Source organism: Homo sapiens, chromosome 17 (genome assembly GCF_000001405.40).
Source record: "Homo sapiens chromosome 17, GRCh38.p14 Primary Assembly".
NCBI classification, from domain to species: domain Eukaryota; kingdom Metazoa; phylum Chordata; class Mammalia; order Primates; family Hominidae; genus Homo; species Homo sapiens.
In genome coordinates this window covers 20,612,437-20,633,274 of record NC_000017.11, presented here as the reverse complement: position 1 = coordinate 20,633,274, position 20,838 = coordinate 20,612,437, and the positions used below count along the sequence as shown (strand labels likewise).

Sequence of the window (20,838 nt, the reverse complement as noted above, 5' to 3'; positions counted from 1 at the left end):
ATGTCATTTGAGTGAATACAGTCATTGTAAAAGGGAGGCAAAGATCTGCACCTGCCATGGCGGTTGGGCTCATGTGCTCCTCTGCATTGGAGTTAGCCAAGGAGCGTGTGCAGAACACTTGCCTCGTAGGCCAGCCGTAAGGAAGGATGTCCCAGGTGCAGGCGAAGTTTTGTTCATGTGTTCCTGGAGGATTTTTCCCGTGGCAAGCGCTTCTCCATCCTCCAGCATCTCAGGCCTGGTGAGTCTGGATGTGACCGCTTCCTATGGGGGCCCCAGGCACAGAAAGATGCAAAGGAGGGTGGATGGAAGTGGAACGTGGGCAAGGCCCAGAGAGCATCAGGTTGACTGTTTCACCAGGCACCCCTGCTCCGGTGCAAGGCAGAAGCCGGCCAGACCCCCACTCAGCGCCCCTCCTGGGCTCTGGCCCTGGCACCTAGACCCATCCCGCCATTCTCCGCAGCTCCACTGCCCGCAGGCAGGAGCTGCCGGCGTGGAACCTGCGGGCTGCAGTGAGCAGTGGAGGCAGTAGCCGCTGCTCCCTGGATTCCCGGGATGTTTTTCTTTGGCTTTTTTCTTTTTCTATTTTATTTTAGATTCAGAAGGTACACGTGCTTGTTTGTTATATGTATATCACATGCACAATGGGGGGGGGGTTGAACTTCTAGCATACCCATCACCCAAATATTGGAGGTTGTACCCAGTAGGTACGTTTTCAACTCTTCCCCCCAACTTTTTGAGTCCCCACAGTGTATTCTCTCCATCTTCATGAGAACATGCAGTATTTGGCTGTTTCTGCATTCACGTAGGATAATGACCTTCAGCTGCATCTGTGTTGCTGCAAAGGACATGATTTTGTTCTTTTTTATGACTGCCTAGTACTTTGTGGTGTATATGCACCACATTTTCTTTATTTAATGAACCGTTGGTGGATACTTACCTTGGTTCCATGACCTTGCTGTTGTAAGTTATGCTGCGATAAACATGGGAGTGCAGTGCCTTTTTATATAATGATTTCTTTCCCTTTGGGTAGATACCCAGTAGTGGGATTGCTGGGTCGAAAGGTAGTTGTACTTTTAGTTCTTTGAGATACCTCCCTACTTTTTCCATAGAAGTTGAACTAATTGACATACCCACCAACAATGTATGAGCATTCCCGTGTCTGGAAGAGTTTTCCTAGGTTTTCTCCTAGGATCTTTATAGTTTTAGGTCTTACATTTAGGCCTTTAATCTATCTTGAGTTAATTTTTGTACAGGTGAGTGAGAGGGGTCCAGTTTCATTCTTAAGCATATGGTCAGCCACTATTCCCAGAACCACTTAGTGAATAGGGTGTCCTTTCCACGTTAAGTGTTTTGAAGAGCCATTGGCTGATTTTTTTCCTAGCATTATTTCTTGAGCAAAATCCTTCAGTAGAATGTTGATGAAAGTGGTCAAAGTGATTATTTATGTATTGTTTCCAATCTTATGGAGTAAACATTCTTTACCCACTAACTTAGTTGAGGATGTTTATCATAGGTTTTCTTAGATGCACTTGACCAGATTGTGGAAGTACTCTTCAATTTCTAGTTTGGTTAGGGTTTTAATCATATGATGGATTTAGCCAAATGCTTTTTTTCCTGTGTCAATCAGATTATCACATCCAAGTCTGGTGGTCAAACCTGTAGACGTGTATAGTCTTATTACACACTGGATAATGGGTCATTCTTATCTCTGCTTTGCCCATGCAGTGCACCAGCCTTCCTGTGCCCGTTGATGGACTGAGAGGAAGATGAGCCCTTAGGATGCCTGCCATGCTCACTGTTAAGGTAGGACTCATCCTTCTCCCTTGAGCACCAGTGTTTCTCCTGCCCATTTCTCAGTGACCATTTCCTATCATTGGCCTGGACATTCTGGCACTTCAGTTCCCCAACTGAGGGTCTCACCACACCAAGTTCTTTGCATGGAAGTACGTCATGCCTACTGGGAACTTTTACAGCTCCCCAGACTCCTCCAGGTGGTCAGTACCTCATAATATCACCCAAGCAAGGCACAGAGGGGGTCTGCCCAGTTAATAGAGCTTGTGTTCTGAAACCCACCATCTCACCTTTTAACTCACCAATGGCCCTTTCTCAAGGCCAGGGAAAGGAATGAAGGCTCATTGCTAAAAACCGCAACCTCAACAAGGCTGTACTTCCTTTTAGAGTCCCCTTACCCAGCATTGTCATTGTCTTGGAAGAAGTTCAGAATGCTTCTCCCTCTTGGTTTTGTTACTGACCTGGCAAACATGTTCTATTGTGTCTATTTGTGAAGAAGATCAGGTGCAGTTCACCTTCAGATTTGAAGGCTGACAGTACACCATTAGGAGGCATCTGATGGACTACCTCAACAATCCTCTGCTGGCTCAAGGTTGCAATGACTAGATCTAGCTACCCTCTGACTGCCACCTGATGTCCACTTGTGGCACTATGTGGATAATGTCCTTCTGCCCGATAACAAAGAGGGAGAGGTTCAGTGGGCCCTCATATTGACAACTAACCACACAACTCAATGGGAATGAGCCATCGTCCCACATGATACAACAGCCTGCCATTTCCATCAAATTGTGGGGCTATATTTACTTATTTTTTTGGATGTAAAATGTTAGTTTTACAGGAAGAATGGAATTTAAAATGGCATTCTTTAAATGTGGAGTATCCAAGTTCAACAGTCTGTACTCATTGATTTCTTCCAAAAACAGAAAAATTTAAGGGGCAGACCTGAACAAGTCACTAATTACTTGAAGCTATATGGTTTGCAAATGTTTTGCTCTTATTTCAGTACAGTTTCATATAATGAGATGGGATTTTTCCAAAACTGATACACTATAAATCTCAGTGGACATGCTAGTATCCTTTCAATAAATTTGCATTTCAATAATATGGACAACATCCATGTATTATATACAGAAGGCTAAGAAACCGAAGAAATTGCCAGACTATATTATTCAAAACATCAAGAAACTGATGTCTGACTAATGTATTCAATCCTTGTTCTGGAGATCAACATTATGAAGGTATGAATTTCTAAGGGAAAATTTTAAAATTATAATTTACTCATATTATAAATTTTGATGTTGAGAAAATTAGTTTTTGGAATACATCTTTGATTTTTGTCACATAATAGAAGAAAAATTTCCAGTGTACTAAACAGCATATGACATTATTTATGGCAAAACAAAATGATTCTAATTGATGTTTCCTTTAAAAAATCTAAAGAGTACTCATCCCTTGACCTTTCTGAATTCCCAAATATACTCCCTTAAATTAATAAAATTGAAAATGTAATTGTATCAGGAAAGAACTATTGTATTGTTATATTCTTTTCAACACTGTTAAGCTATTGTTACTTTTTAAAAATTTTAGTAGGTTTTTGGGGAACAGATGGTGTTTGGTTACATGAATAAGTTCTTTAGTGGTGATTTCTGAGATTTTGGTGCACCCATCATCCGAAGAGTCTATACTGTATTCAATGTGTGGTAGTCTTTTATCCCTCACCCTGCTCCCACCCTTTCCCCCACGAGTCCAAATTGTGCGGCTATATTTAGAGTAAGGCAGGCAGACAAAATCTACAACCAGTCGGCCTCAGGCTCTTCACCCTCCTCAGGCCACATTGAGTTTAACCCTTAGGCCACCCTTATCACTGTTTCTACAGCCTGTGCCTCCTAGAGACACTTGGCATCTCAGTTGTGCTTTGCAGCCATTAGAGATGGATAGGACCCAAAATGGTTGATTGGGCCACCTCCAAGATCAAGTTTTTGTGCCTATGACATCACCTCCAGCACACACAGTGTGTTTAGACCTTACTGCTTAGTTCTGAGTCCTCTCGGTCCTGTCCCATTCTAGCCTGCCATTGCTCACAATGCAGCAACTCCAAGCCTACTACCACCCAGACCTTTCAACTCCTTTTACATCCCCATGGAACCATTTTTCCAAGCCTCAGTGTGCCATGGCTTTTGCTGTCCCAGGTTTCCCAAAGTTCCTCACATAATTGTGTCTTCTCCAGGCCTATTCACCAATTACTCGGCTCTCAGGTCATGGACAGTTTTTATCATAGGGTCATTTCAGACACCACCCAGTAGCCGGCCTTTTAGCTCACTAGTCATGCCTTTGCTGACATCCTGCCACCTTACGGTCAGACCCTGGTTATGACTCATTTGCTGCTCTTCCCTCACCATTGGGGAGTCTGCCTCAAGTCTGCAGCTGCACCTCACTCGCAGTATCTCCTCTAATAGGTTAGCCACCAATGGACCTACTATGCCCTCTCTGCTGATGGTGCTGTTCAGTTCCCAGCAACCGTTTCAAGGATGCCACTGATTTCTGTCTCACCATCACAATATGCCCCCCTATGAGAGACCCTCACACTATTTCTAATTTTAATTTATCTTGTGTTGTCTTCTTTGACCCATATTTTACTTACAAGCATATGCTTTAAATCTCCAAGTATCTTGGGATTTTCCAGATCTTTCTGTTACTGATTTCTAGTTTGATTCCATTGGGTATGAAAACATAGAACATACGTTTTGTGATTTCTATTTTTTTTGCATTGTTCAATGTATATGTTATGGCCTAGAATGTGGTGTATCCTGGTAGACGTTCCCTTATTCTGTTGCTGGGTGGAAGTATTCTATAGATATCTATTATATTCAGTTGATTAATTATGCTGGGGGAGTTCAACTAGGACGGTCCTGATTTTTCTGTCTGCCATGTCTGTCTATTACTGATAGAGAGTATTAAAATCTTCAACTAAAATACTGGATGTATCTAGTTCTCTTTGCAGTTCTATCAGTTTTTGCCTTGTGTTTTGATGCTCTGTCATTGGGCATATACATTGAGGCATATATATGTACATTGATATCACTGATTGAAAAATTGACCCTTTTAAAATTAACAAATGTTCCTGTTTATCCCTGATGAATTTCCTTGTTCTAAAGTCCCCTCTGTCTCAAAACAAGCTTTTTTAAAATTAGTCTTAGTATAGTATATGTTTCCGTATACCTTTACTTTTAAACTATATGTGTATTTATATTTAAAGAGTGTTTCTTGAAGATGACATATAGTTGCATTTTGTTTTTTGATTCACTCTACATCTGTCTTTTAATAGATGAATTTAGACCATTGATTAGTTATTGGCATAACTGGATTAATATCAACCATATTTGTTAACTGTTTTCTATTCATTGCACCTGTTCTTTGTTTCTATTTTTCCTTCTATTATTTATCTGCCTTTTACAAAATGAGTTTATGGAAGAATGATTGACTTACAAAAAGCAGTAAATATTTAATATGTAAGTTGGATAGTTTTGGAGATAAGTATGTATCTGTAAAACCATAAACACAGTCTATTCTGTAAACATATCCAATAACTCCAAAATTTTCCCCAGTGCTCTTATTTATATTTTATGTGATAAAAACACAACACAAAATACACCTCTAGGCAAGTTTTGTTTTGTCTTGTTTTGTTTTGTGTGTGTGTTTTTTTTTTTTTTAGACAGAGTCTTGCTCTGTTGCCAGGCTAGAGTGCAGTGGTGCGCACTCGGCTCACTGCAACCTCCGCCTCCTGGGTTCAAGTGATTTTCCTGCCTCTGCCTCCTGAGTAGCTGGGACTACAGGCATGTGCCACCACACCCAGCTAATTTTTTGTATCTTTAGTAGAGACGGAGTTTCACCATGTTGGCTAGGATGGTCTCAATCTCTTGACCTCATGTTCTGCCTGCCTCAGCCTCCCAAAGTGCTGGGATTACAGGCATGAGCCACTGCACCCAGCCCCAAGTTTTTTAAGTATAAAGTACTGTAAAATTTACTGTAGGACCTATGTTGTATAATAGATCTCTAGGACTTATTCTTCTTGCACGGATAAAATTTTGCACCATTTTTTCATTTTCTTTTTACAGCTTTATTGAGATATAGTTGACAAACCTTATGTGTATTTAAAGTATACAACTTCATTTCTGCTTTATTTATTTTTCTTCTAATCTTTTTATTTATTTCCTTCTACTAAGTCTAAGGTGAGTGTTGTTGACAACATATCGTTGGATCTTGGTTTTCTATCCTTTTGGACAATCTGTATCTTTGGATTGATGCATTTGATCTATTTGCATGTAAAGTAATTATACTTAAGACTTACTATTGCCACTTGGTTAATGATGTTCTGTTCAGCAATTTTTTTCCCTCACTTTCTGCTTTCTATCTTCCTTTGTGATTTGATTTTTTGTTTTTAGTGATTATATAGATTAATTTCTCTTTATTTTATGTATCTAGTGAAAGTTTTTCTTTTTTCCTCTTTTTTTTTTTTTTTTTTTCTTTGAGACAGAGTCTCGCTCTGCCACCCAGGCTGGAGTGCAGTGGTACGATCTCGGCTCACTGCAACATCTGCCTCCTGGGTTCAAGCAATTCTCTGCCTCAGCCTCCTGAGTAGCTGGGAATTCAGGTGCCTGCCACCACGCCCAGTTAATTTTTGTATTTTTAGTAGAGACAGGGTTTCACCGTCTTGGCCAGGCTGGTCTTGAACTCCTGACCTCGTGGTCCACCTGCCTCAGCCTCCCAACGTGCTGGCATTACAGGCATGAGCCACTGTGGCCAGCCGAAAGTTTTTCTTTATGGTTACCATGGGGCTTGCATAAAAGTTCTTATACTTCATAGTCATCAGTTTTCAGTGGACAACCACTTAACTTTAATCACATACAAACACTCTATACTTGGTCAGATGTGGTGGCTCATGCCTGTAATCCCAGCACTTTGGGAGGCTGAGGCGGGTGGATCACCTGAGGTCAGGAGTTTGAGACCAGCCTGACTAACATAGTGAAACCACGTCTCTACTAAAAATACAAAAATTATCTGGGTGTGGTGGCACACGCCTGTAACCCCAGCTACTTGGGAGGCTGAGGCAGGAGAATTGCTTAAACCTGGGAGGTGGAGGTTGTGGTGAGCTGATATCATGCCACTCCACTCCAGCCTGGGCAACAGAGTGAGACTCCAACTCAAAACAAACAAACAAACCAACAAACAACAAATACTCTGTACTTTTATTTCCTCCACTCATGTTATGTTAATTAGATCAGAATTTCATTTTTTATATATTGTATATCCATTAACAAATTTTTGTGGCCTCAGATATTCTCAATGCTTTTTGCCTTTTAACGTTTATATTCTGCTTAAAATTATTTACATACCACTATCACATAGCATTCCATTATCCTGTTTGTGTCTACATACTTACCTTTAACAGTGAGATATATATTTTTATATCTTTTTGTTTTTTATTAGCATCCTATCTTTTCAACTTAAAGAAATCCCTTTGGCATTTATTGTAAGGCAAGTCTAGTGTTGATGAACCCCTTCACCTTCTAGGTCTGTTGTAAGACTATACATCATCCTGAATATTGACATGAAACTGTAAATTCCCAGGAATTGGTGGATGTTTTTCAAAGCCCTAATCTCATAACATTTAATTCCCTAGTCTTTCCACTTAGGCTTTTCAGCATGTACATTGTTTCCCCCAACAGATACATTCTTTGCCTCAGGTTGTGCAGGTAGTTCATTTGCTTCTAAATGTTTTTAACAAATATTAGGCTGTTGATATATTTCTTCCTTTTTTAGTATAGACATTGACTGATACCTGTTTTCCTCTAAGTACTCTTTCACAGAATCCCCTACTTTTTGGTACGTTGCATCTTCACGTTAAGTAATCTCAACATATTTTGAATTTTCTTTGTGCTGTTTTTTGACCCATTGATAACTTAGGACTATGTCGTTTAATTTCCACATATTTGTGAGTTTCACCAAATTCACTTACTTAACTGGTAATTTTCTTCTGTTGTAGCTGGAGAACAGATTTTCTTTTTTTTGAATTTTTTATTTCAATAGTTTTTGGGGAACAGGTGGTTTTTCGTTACATTGATAAATTCTTTAGTGGTTATTACTAAGATTTTAGTGCACCCGTCACCCAAACAGTATACATTGTACCCAATGTGTAGACTTTTATCTGGCAATTCAGAGATTTCTTCTTGGTTTGGATCCATTGCTGGGAAGCTGTTGTGATCTTTCAAGTCCTGCTGTTCAGATTCTTTTGTCCCACAGGGTTATCGTTTCAGATGGTGCTCTCCCCCTTCCCCTAAGGATGGGGCTTCCTGAGAGCTGAACTGCAGTGATTATTATTGCTCTTCTGGGTCTTGCCACCCAGCGGGGCTGTCGGGCTCTGGGCTGGTGCTGGGGGATGTCTGCAAAGAGTCCTGTGATGTGATCCGTCTCCTGGTGTCCCAGCCAGGGGTACCAGCACCTGCTCTGGTGGAGGTGGCATGGAAGTGAAGTAGACTCTATGAAGAGTCTCTGGTTGTAGATATGTTTAGTGTGCTGGCTTTCCTGAATGCTGGTTATGCTAGCAGTGACGTTGTCAGGTGGACACGCTCCAGACCTCTGGTTAGCCAAGTTGTTGCAGGCAGTGGAATTAGGTGTTGTCTTCTGCTTCCTGGGATCAGAGTTGTTCTGTCATGAGTTGCTGTAATGACCTGAGTTGGTTGGCCTCCAGCCAGGAGGTGGTGCTCTCAAGAGAGCACCAGCTGTGGTAGTAGTAGGGGGCTCTAAGCTTGCCCTCAGATGGCCAGGGTAAGTATTTTGGATTCTTGGTGATGGGCAAGGCCATAAAGCTCCCAAGAGTTTCTCGTTTTTCTTGTTTTGTTTTGTTTTTCAGACAGAGTCTTACTCTGTCGCCAAGCTAGAGTACACTGGCACAATCTCAGCTCGCTGCCTCAGCCTCCCAAGTAGCTGGGACTCCAACTCCTGGGCTTAAGCAATCCTCCTGCCTTGGCCTCCCAAAGTGCTGGGATTATAGGCATGAGCCACCGGGCTCTCAGCCAGCACTTTTCATGAGGACAGGATCTGCTGCAGAATCAAGTCCTGTTGCTGCCTGGAAGTGGACTCAAGGGAAGAAAGAAAATGTTTGTACTTGATAGATTAATAAAATCCCAACCACCTTATTTTAGATCAGAGAAAGCAGAGCCTAGAAAAAATAAATGTCTGGGCTGGGCGCGGTGGCTGACACCTGTAATCCCAGCACTTTGGGAGGCCGAGGTGGGTGGATCACCTGAGGTTAGGAGTTCGAGACCAGGGTGACCAACATGGAGAAACCTTGTCTCTACTAAGAGTACAAAATTAGCCAGGCATGGTGGTGCATGCCTGTAATCCCAGCTACTTGGGAGGCTGAGGCAGGAGAATCGCTTGAACCCGGGAGGCGGAGGTTGCAGTGAGCAGAGATTGTGCCATTGCCATTGCACTCCAGCTTGGGCAACAAGAGTGAAACTCCATCTCAAAAAAGAAAGGAAGGAAGGAAGGAAGGAAGGAAGGAAGGATACATGTACGAGACTCTTAAGTTCACACATTAAATCAGAGTGAGGAGTAGAGGCCAGGTCTTCTGGATTTCTAAGCCATTTTCAAGGAGTAAGTGACTCACATTAAAAAGACTGTTTGTTCTTTTTGGCTAAAATCAACAATTATTTTCCTCTTCTCCTTGTAGTAGCTAATGGTAGAAATCTTAAATCAAAGGTTCTCAAACTTCAGTGTGAAAGAAAATCACTTTAGACGTCAAAATGCAGGTCCCAGGCCATGGCACAGAATTATGGTTTGCACATTTGAGAAAGGGCCCAAGAGAGTTTGCATTTTTTTTTTTTTTTTTTTGAGATGAAGTTTTGCTCTTGTTGCCCAGGCTGGAGTGCAATGGCGTGATCTCGGCTCACTGCAACCTCTGCCTCCCAGGTCCAAGCAATTCTCCTGCCTCAGCCTCCCGAGTAGTTGGGATTACAGGCATGTGCCACCACACCCGGCCAATTTTGTATTTTTAGTAGAGACAGGGTTTCTCCATGTTCAGGCTGGTCTCGAACTCCTGACCTCAGGTGATCCACCCACCTCGGCCTCCCAAAGTGCTGGGATTACAGATGTGAGAGTTTGCATTTTTAATAAGCATCCTTGATTCTGATATAACTGGCACAGATCTACACTTGGATACACATTGCCTTAGTCCTAGCATCAAAACTGGCACACTTAAAGTGAGGTTTAACAGATTATTTCACTTCTTATATAAACAACTTCTCCAGTGACAACTGTTACTACTTGCCTTGAAATGATATATCAATAACGATATCATTAAGTATAAGAAATAATAAAAATTTTGTAGAGTAGTAAGATATTTGTGATCTACTTCAGGAAATTGTTAGAAGGATTTCTTAGCTCTCTTGTTGCATAAAAACATCCATACTATAGCAGTTATAAGGGAGTAAACTGAGCAATTTCCAATTTAGTTTTTTTTTTCTTTTTTTTTTTTTTTTGAGACAAGGTCTTACTCTGGCACCCAGTCTGGAGTGCAGTGGTGCGATTATGGCTCATTGCAGCCTTGACCTTCTGCACTCAAGTGATCCACCCGAGTAGCTGGGACTACAGGAGTGTGCCACCATGCCCAGCTAATTTTTTGTATTTTTTGTAGAGATGGGGTTTCATCATGTTGCCCGGGCTGGTCTTGAACTTCTGGATGCAAGTGATCCGCTCGCCTTGGCCTCCCAAAGTGCTGGGATTCCAGGCATAAGCCACCCATGCCCAGCCTCTTGTTTTCTCAGAAGAAGCCTGAAATATTATCAGTAAGATAGAGTGAAATTTAAGAAGTGAAAAATGAGTGGACAAAAATACAGGGTTAATAAGAAATGCTGAACACATAAGAATATGCAAGTTGGGAGAGCAAATTGAAAACAATAGTTCCAGAATGGACCCTAATGGTTTCAGCCCACTCAAGTGTTTTGTAATGGTCTGTATAGATCCTTAATTATAAAGAGAGTACAGAGTACAGGATAAACACTGAATGGTATTATAGTTGTGAAAATAATTGACATTACTTAAACCTCACATTATTACTTTATTTCAGGCCAGCAAACTGAAAAAATATGGGATTTGATATACTTTTTAATTCAGTTTTTAAATTTATCTGTGAAATACATGATGGTTTCATTTTGTATTGCTATTATAAAACTCCTCTCTCTATATATATATGTGTGTGTGTGTGTGTGTGTGTGTGTGTGTATATATATATATATATATTTTTTTTTTTTTTTTTTAGACAGAGTTTCACTCTTGTTGCCCAGGGTGGAGTGCAATGGCATGATCTCGGCTCACTGCAACTTCCGCCTCCCAGGTTCAAGTGATTCTCCTGCCTCAGCCTCCTGAGTAACTGGGATTACAGGCATGTGCCACCACGCATAACTAATTTTGTATTTTTTAGCAGAGACGGGGTTTCTCCATGTTGGTCAGGCTGGTCTTGAACTCCTGACCTCAGGTGATGCACTCACCTCGGCCTCCCAAAGTGTTGGGATTACAGGCATGAGCCACCATGCCTGGCCAAAAACTCTTCTATATATTTTTAAAATTTTATAATTAGACATTATTTTCTGAAAATCTTGGAAACTAACCACTTCTAGGAATGAAAGCCTGGATCTACTGACAGCCAGCCCTGGACACAAAGATTCATCCACCCAGGTGCAGAGGCTCTCAGAGTGCATTGGATGCTGTCTGTCCATCCTTCCCCACCCCTGGAGGTTCATCTTTGGCTGGGACAGGGTTGGAGGGCAGCAAGAATGGCTGAGACTGGCCTCAGAATGTGGCTTCGTGGTGTCTGTCCTATGGGTGGCCCTGGGCTCGGGGGATGGTTTCTGCCATCAGGATCAAGACTCTCTCTCATGCTGCAGGGTCCAGAGGGTGGGCCTCGTCACTACCCTTTGCACCCCTCCTCCTAACACGAACAGTAACAGAACATTCCCAGAAACCCAGAACCTCCCTCATGCATCATTCTAGTCACTGTCTCCCTCTGCACTAAGGATAATCATTGCCCTGTCTAATACCATGTATCAGCTTTGCCTGTTTTTGAATTTTCTATAAATTTCATCCATGTACAACATCCTCTTTTGGGTCTGGCCTCCGTATTCCAATACAATGTTTGTGAGATCCGGTCACATTATTGGGAGTTAGAGTTTATTTGTGCTCGTTGCGTAGTAGTAGTTCGTTATAGGAACGCCACAATACTGTGTTTATTCCACTTTAGGTGAACATTTGGGTTGTTTTGAGTTTTTGGCTCATAATATTGGTGTGAAAATACTTGTACACGTCTCTTGGTGAACATATGTGCACATTTCTCCTGGGCCTGGGGGTGGACAAAGCTTTGTTTTTAACCATTAACTTGATATCAGTGTTAGTAAATTTCTAATGATTTAATCCAAATAACTTTCAAAGACCTTTCCAAGCCTAAAGACAACAAAGCCTGTGCTTTAATAATTATATATCCTGGAAATATTTCTGGAACATTTTCTAGAAATGGAGGCAATCATGACTTTGATTTCAGATGTCAGAATGCCCTTGGGCCTAAAGATGGGTTCATGTTGCAGGGCCTCCTCTCCAGGTGGTTTCTTTTTCACTCTGCCCAAGGTGCTTCTGTTTTCTCCCTGGGAAATGGAAGGAGTTCAGAATGATTTCTGTTGTCATAGTTAGGAGACTGTGCATACCTGGAAATAATGGTCAGGAGAAACCCTTTGTGTTGATAAGGGGGCAATTTTTTATACGTCTTTCACTGAAATAAAGAAAGGGCCAAATTAATTCCATATCCAAGTTAAATTTATGATTTTTGGACAGGTGCGGTGGCTCACACCTGTAATCCCAGCACTTTGGGAGGCCGAGGCAGGTGAATCACCTGAGGTCAGGAGTTCGAGACCAGCCTGGCCAACCTGGTAAAACCCTGTCTCTACTAAAAATACAAAAATTAGCTGGGTGTGGTGGTGGGTGCCTGTAATCCCCACTACTCGGAAGGCTGAGGCAGAAGAATCACTTCAATCCAGAAGGCGGAGGTTGCAGTGAGCCGAGATCACGCCACTGCACTCCAGCCTGGGCAACAAGAGCAAAACTCCGCCTCAAAAAAAAAAAAAAAAAGTAAAATAAATTTATGATTTTCAAAGAGGAAGCCTTGATAATTAACCAAATCTAACCATTAATTTAAGCTATTTGGTACATTGTGTCACTTTAGATGGAGGAAGCTAAACAAGAATTACATAGTTTCCTTTTCACATGGAAAAGCTATGTGTAAATCTGTAGAAAATGCCCCTGTGAGGACTTAACACATTTTCTTTGATTGGATTGTGCATCTTGTTTAATCTTTACTGAATGTTCTGTTTAAAATCATCTTTTACCAAGCTTACTTTTGTTGATAGATCTTTGAAAATTAATTTGCATTGAGACCAATATTTATGGTCTCTTACATATCACAGACAATAAATGCACATCTTTAGGACAAAAGTAGTGCCTAGGCTGGGGCTTTAAAGTCCTACAGACCTGGCTGTGAAAATAAAAACCAGTTATAAACTGTAGATTTGAGTAATTTCCCTTCTGTAAACTCTAGTTTCTTCATCTATAAAACAGTCATTATTATTGTGGGGATTAAATGAGATTTAACCATTTCAAAGTTGTGCTCAATGCTTGGCATAAAGCAAGCACACAGCAATTTCTGTTCTTCCTACCATTATGTTATTGTGATTATCACCTTCAACTGTTCCCTTCAACTGTGCTCTTGAAAAGTGGGCATCTTTTCGATCAAGCAGTTCTTCTATTTACCTAAAGGTAAAATCGTTTTGGCCATGTCAACAAAATGTCATAATATAAATATAAACATTATATACAGAAGCTAATGTTCTGTAAATAATCTTGCCTCATTTTCTACAAATCTGTTGGTCTCTGAAAAAAGGAAATTAAAAACAATTCATAGAGAGAAAAATCAGAGCAAACATGAGATTGTGCTTTGACACCCTTCTCTCCATATATGCATGTGCAAGGACCTGAAGCAAGTCGTCACCGAGAGATGAAATGCCTTAAATACATGTCTTCTATGATATCACCAGGCTGTGCTCTGAGGCTCTTTTCTTCATTCTTCCTGTCGTTCTAAGGTCCTACATGCCGATGTCCATCTTTTCTCACAAGTCAATACCAGAGAGGATTAACCTGGATTCGTCTTTATTTTGGTGGCAATAAGTTTCTTTATTTAGCCCTTATTCCAACCTTCTGGCCTCTTTCCTGTGTCTCTATTCTTACTTTCAAAAGTTATCAGGCACATTAACTTAGAGAAGGGAGTACAACAAGAAGCATAAACATTAAAAACAAAGTAAAATTATCTTTATTTGTTTCTTGGAAACATAAGCCAGTACCTTGAAAAACAACATTAAGAAAATTCAGTAAAGGTCTTCCCTGTGAAAGTAACTTCAGAAAACAATTGTTCATATGTATGCATAATTAGTTCAAAATAAAGGAAAAATTGACCCCTGAATCTGAAACAAAAAAATTAAAAATGTCCTAAGCTTTCCATGAAGAAATATTCAAAACACCACTGAAGGGCATGATAGAAGACTTAAATACATTGCATCCTTGGGTATCAAGACTCACTATTACAAAGATGTTACTTTCCCCTAAATTATCCCTCAAGTAAAATGAAATTATTCAATTTGTATCTCAAAATATTTACATGCAAGAGGCCAGGCACAGTGGCTCACACCTGTAATCCCAGCACTTTGGGAGGCTGAGGCAGGCAGATCACCTGAGGTTGGGAGTTTGAGACCAGCCTGACCAACATGAAGAAACCCTGTCTCTACTAAAAATACAAAAATTAGCTGCGCATGGTGGCACATGCCTGTAATCCCAGCTACTTTGGAGGCTGAGGCAGAAGGATCACTTGAACCCGGGAGGCAGAGGTTGCAGTGAGCTGAGATCAAGCCATTGCACTCCAGCCTGGGCAATAATAGCGAAACTCTGTCTCAAAAAAAAAATATATATATATATATATATGTGTGTGTGTGTGTGTGTGTGTGTGTGTGTGTGTGTGTGTATGTATGTGTATATCTATTTACATGCAAGAATAGCCAAGGCAATTCGTAAATGGAGTAGTAATAAGAATTTTTCACTCCCTTAGTTAAGAAAATACATTATATGTTTCTAAGTCAACGCCTAATAATTTATGTGACCATGAGTAAGTTACTTCACATCCTGAGAGTCCTTTTCTTGGATTACAAAATGAGGAGTGGAGGAGTGATCCAGGGTCACCTGTAGGTTCAACCATATGAAGTCACCTGTACTCAACCGACTTGATTTACACCACAGAAATTTCATGTGGTTCAACTTAGTAGGTGATCACTAATTCCAAAATGAATGTCAATGTAGCTTAACATTCATTATCAGTAGCTATATTCACTTTTTTAAATGTTGTAAAATTTTCCTCATGCTAATATTGCATGAGAATACAAATTTAGCAAAAGAGTCATGCTATAATATCTTGAAGGAAGGAAATCCAGGAGGCTTGCATAGTGGCCAACTTAGCTAAGTTTAAATATTACAGAAGAGCTAAATTTTGAAAAAGATTCAAGAGTCAGGGAACTTGCCCAGGAGTAGCTTTGAGCATAAAAAAAGAAAAATAGGCAATAAAAATACCAAACAAAGCCTCACCCACCCCAGCCACAGATGCACAGTCAGCCACCTGAGTAGCTGGGATTACAGGCACCCGTCACCATGCCCAGCTAATTTTTGCATTTTTAGTAGAGATGGGGTTTCGACATGTTGGCCAGGCTGGTCTCAAACTCCTGACCTCAGGCAATCCACCCGCCTTGGCCTCCTGAAGTGCTGGGATTATAGGCGTGAGCCACCGTGCCCAGCCAGAGTCCCCTACCACTTAAAGGTATCCACCCTCTGTTCACACAGCAGATGAATGGTGGTCCAAGGTTGGAACCTACTCCATCTGGCCACAGTCTACATTATCACCTGCCTGCTGCCTTGCCCTCCTGCTTTCTTCCATTTGCTAGCTCCTGAAATGGGACCCTGTCCTAACCTGACACCCAGGCATTCAAGTCACTGTGAACTAGAGAGCAGAGGTGAGGCCATATTTCCAAAGAGCCACTGGTAAGTTACATGCATAGGTTAAGAGGGGTGTCCTGTGATTGTCACTGACCTTTGTCCACCAGCACATAAGTTTAGAGCTCCAGCCATGTTCACTGGGCCTCCATGCAAAGAGCCTGGACTCGAGGAGCAAGGGTGGGGCAGAGGAGATGCCCTGTCCAGCAAGACTTCCCTGGAGCTCTGCTAGAAATGTCATCCTTCAGGTTCTGCCGGCCAAAGGCCAAGGATCAAACCAAGGCCCAGTCTGCAGCTCCAGCTTCAGTTCTAGCTCAGGCTTCCAAAGGTGTCCAGGCCACCAGGCAGCCTTCAGAGTAGAGGTCTCTGTCAATCTGAGAACAGAAGGACTGGTGTGACCCCTGGGCTGCTATATGCATGGGGCTGGTGTCCTCCTGTGCTATTTGTACAAATAAACCTGAGGCAGGATTTAAAAAAAAAGAAAAACCATCCTACAGAACCTCTGACCGCTGGAATCCCTGGGCAATGCCCAAGCAGGTATCACAAAGGCAGTTGGAATGAGAGAGAAGAAATCAGCCTTCCTTCCTAAATGTTGCCTACAGCGTGCCATGCTGATCTACATCTCACCAAAGAATTCCTTTCCAGTAAGATTTTTCTTTAAAGCTTTGAGTCAGAGGATAATCTTCAAGGACTTGTCTAGCAACAATAACAACCACTGTGCATCCTAAAGCTGTAGAGAAACTCAATGTGTGTGTATTCCAAGGTTTAACTTTAGGAAGTAGCTGAGCTGGCATAGACCTGATTCCTTCAGTGTTGAGGCACCTGTGGCATCTTTAGCAGGTTGGTTGTTCAAGATAGCCTGGAGATTACTGTGAGCTTCTTTGAGTAATTGGTAAGTATACTTATTTTAAGGGTTGAAATGTGGCTCATTGATCATTTTGCTTATTATTACAGATATAAGAATGGAAAAATACTGCAACAGTAATTTTGCATTGAGTTTGGGATTTTTTTTTTTTTTTGGCAACTACCCTTAAACTTTCTTACAATAAATATGAGGCTTTTCCTCTATTTGAATTTTCCCTCAACAGGAACCTTAGTAATAAAGCTTTGGCTGGAGAATATCACAATATCTCCCTGGGAATCTCTTCCCACTGCTGAAGCAATTTAAAAAATGATATTGAGATTGGAGTACCAAAATGAAGATAAGCTGTGCGGGTTCTTTCTGGTTTTTTTTTTTTTTTTTTTTTTTTTTTTTAAAGGACATATATTTAATGAGACAGTGACAGCAGCATTGTTACAACTGGGCATCCCTCAGGCCAGCTTGGTCCCATGCTGTGGGACCACCCATATGTGGTCTTCCATGAGGTGCTGGCGGCACCAGGCTCTTCCTGCTGTGCTACGGACCCATAGAAAGACCCATACGTGATTCTGTTTACAGACTGTATCACCCAGAAGGGGCAGGTGGGGGAGATGCTGGGTGGCAGGTAAAAATAAAAGGGGCCCAACCCTTTGTCCAGCAAATACCAGCACAGTTTTTCTATGCACACAGTGATTTGTAACTTGAATAATGTGAAGTTGATTACACAGATTTCGGAATGGCTAATATCCATATGACAGAAATGTGATGCATTCAAGAGACATGTGCAGACTTTGGGGTGTTGGGAAACAGCATTTGGCCTTTAACCCCCTCCTCAGCCCCAAAGAGGAAGGGGAAGCAGGACAGGAACCCACACTGTTGATCCAACCTCACATCACACTCTCTAAAGGACTCCCTGCTCACTGTTCCACCTGACGTAGGTCAGTACCCCTGCCCCCATTTTCCAGATGGGGAAACCGAGGCAGAGCTGACAGTAAGAACCTTGCCTAAAGCCACCACAGTGGGGAGAGGACACCATCCCCTTCCTGATGGTGGAGGGCAAAGAGGAGACCCTGCCGTCTCTCCCACTCCTGGAATGAGCCAGTGAGCCAGGCGGCCTTTCTGCTGACTGAGGTGTCTCCTCTTGGGTTTTCTGGTCAAAGAGGACAAATATCCAAGCAGTGGCATTCTCTTCCCTCTGCCCACCGTGTGTGCCAACCATGTGCACCAACAGCCAAGCACAGTCCAGGGTGTAGGGGAAAAGGACAGATAGGAGCACCCCCACTGCCCAAGGCAGAAGGCTGGGAAGCCACCTCCTGACACATCCTCTCCTGAGGCCCCTCGTGGACCGCAGGATCTGTAAAGTGCAAACACCAAAGCCAAGTATCCCCTCACCCAGAGCTGTAGGTTTCCTCTGCTGTCCAGGGGCCTCTGTCCCGTGGAGTGAGGGACCTCCCACACGCCCCTGCCCTGATCTTCCTGAATGGGCTCAGTCGAGTGAATACTCTCAGCTCTTGATCTCAGGCCCCCAAACAAAAGGCCATTGGCTGGTCATTTCTGAGCTATCTGGAGCCCTCCACAGGCAGCAGGACAGATCTCCTTGGGTAAATCTGGTTCCAAGAAATGCCACCAGACCACTGCAGGATCCCATCACCTAACTGGAACCTCCCCCAGTGCACAGTCCTTGCTCCACACCTGGAGACCAGGACACCCTCTTTAGGCTGGGGCCATGGCCTCCTAGCTTGGAGCACCAGGAAAGCTGGGCTGGGCCAAAGCAGGAGCACCCAGCAGGGAAAAGCTCCATGGTCCCCTTCCTTGCTGTTGTACAGGAACAACAGGTGACCCCACTGGACTGACCACCCAATGAGGCCTTTGAACCTCAGGCCAGGGAGAGGCAGGTCTACAGGTGACAACTGTGAACAGCCCCAGCTGGGGACAACCAGAAATCCCCAAGGCGACGAGTGGCTGAAAGTGATGGAGCCCCCAGGCAGAGCCGAAACCCCACTGCAGGTGAGACTCGGCCCTTGGCTGAGTGTGTGCAGCCGCATCCTCAGGTGTTACTCAACACTCCTCTGAAGCTCTCTCGGGGTCTTGGCCTGATGAGTTTCCAGGGTGGTCAGGATGGGAACTGTGGAATCTCTAGGGCCCGGATGCTCTGGTTCAGGAGTGTGGAGGGCTCTGTGCCATGGGGGAGGTGAGATATCCCCCCAACTCCCTGCCCATGGAGTTCTGCACTGGGGGAAGGATGGGGGCCACGCAAGGACCCCTCACAGCAGCACACCCAGGTGACAGCCAGGTGCGGCCACCCCGAGTCCCAGCAAGCACCTGGGAGACAACGGGCCTTGACACTGCCCACCCGCTCTGGCCCAGCAGGGGTGGAGGGGTCCAGGGGCCGCAACCCAGGGGTCTCCAGAGCAGAACGAACAACTTGACGTTGGCAGGGTGGGTCCCGGTGGGCCAGGTGGGGTGCCCAGCACTGTTCCTCAGCGCTAGGCCTCCACGTCAGGACCTGGCTCCTGGAAGAGTGACTGCTTCCTCAGGCTGAGCTGGGCACACTTGGGACACGTGGTGGAGTTGTCGTAGTAGCAGTCCCTGTGGAAGACGGTGGAGCAGTCGGTGCATACAGACGTGTGGCTGTCGAATGGGAACAGCACATCGCCCTCTCTGCAGAGCTCACACACGAAGCCCTTGGCCTGGCACCGCTCGCGTTCCAGCTTGATGTGCTTGGTGAAGAGCGTGTGAGTCTCGGTGAGTGAGCAGCCCAGGTGGCCGGCATGCACGTCCAGGAGGTCCTGGACAGAGTACATCTCATCGTTCTCCACAAAATGCTGCTGATCCTGGAGCTGCAGCAACAGACGAGCCTCCATGGCCTCCCTGCAAGTGATGAAGTACCGCTTCATGAGCAGGATGTCCTGGCGCAGCTTGCAAATCTCCACCAGCTCCTCCACGTAGTTGAACAGCAGAAGGTTGATCTCCCGGAGCCTGAGCACGGGCCGAGACACCATCAGCGCCAGGTAGCACATGCTGCAGCGAGAAACCTTTCGAGGTGCAAAGTCCCAGTTGCGTACAATGCATGCAGGGATGACAGCCAGGTCGTTCCAGTGGCAATGGCTGCAGTAGTACTGGCCGGTGTAGTCACACTGCCTGGCCTCACTGGGCACACCCTGCAGAGAGATGGGCGCCTGGCACTCAGCACAGCGGTAATCCTGGCTGTCCAGCCCTGTCTCAGGGCAGATGTTAAGTTCGTATTCAGCTTGGTGGCTGACTTTGGAGCTCACACAGGGCTTGGAGATGAGGTTCAAGCACTTGCTGTGACAGCAGTAATAACACCCTGTGCAGGTGTACCAGGTCTGAATGAGCCCCCAGATGATGGTGTTACACTTATCACAGGTCTGCTTGACGCTCTTGCTCTTCTCCTCGTAGAAGCCGTGTTCAAGGAGCACTCAGATGTTTGGCTCATCCTCATTGGGGTCCTTCAGCTCCTGGAGCTTCAGCCAGAGGTGGATGAGTCACACCACGGCATCCTTCTGCTTCTCCGACTGCTCGGGCAGCTCCAGAATCACCTGCTTGCACTCCTCGATCACCTGCCGCAGCACAGGGCGGGAGAAGTGGTCCTCAGACAGGCCGAGATCCATCACGCGTTCAGGGCAACGGAACTCCGGCTCCCCAGGGGGCAGCTCAGGCAGGGCCTCTTCAGGAGTGATGTCTGGGGCCTCCTCCCCAGGGCCCCAGCTCATGCTGTCTCGGCCCAGACTGCTTGTTGAAGGGGTTGAGGTGGGCCTGCCGGAACCGGGCCAGCTTCTCATCATATTCCATGGCATCCCACCTGGATCGCCTGCCAGGGCCCAGGGGCTCGCAGGGACAGGACGGCCATTCCTCTAGGGCTGCTTGCCACGGAAGCCTGGCCGTGGGTTCGCCACCTGCTGACCGCTCCCGCGTCGCTCACCTGACCGCCGCTGCGCCGCCTCACATCCGGTTTCTTTAATAAGGGTATTAAAGAACAGAAAACAGAAGACTGAAATACAAATCCAAATCAGTTTTTTGTTTGTTTGTTTTTGTTT

At 44.1% G+C, this 20,838-nt stretch overlaps 1 long non-coding RNA gene and 1 pseudogene across 1 annotated transcript; one reads left to right on the top strand and one right to left on the bottom strand.

The window, feature by feature from the left end:
* Nucleotides 1–23: 23 nt before the first annotated feature.
* LINC02088 (long intergenic non-protein coding RNA 2088) lies at nt 24–20,297 on the top strand. Its single transcript, NR_146887.1, has 4 exons — nt 24–238; nt 1,726–1,803; nt 18,607–18,787; nt 20,201–20,297. It is a non-coding gene; the product is annotated as a long intergenic non-protein coding RNA 2088 (long non-coding RNA).
* Nucleotides 20,108–20,739, bottom strand: LOC401875 (differentially expressed in FDCP 8 homolog (mouse) pseudogene; annotated as a pseudogene).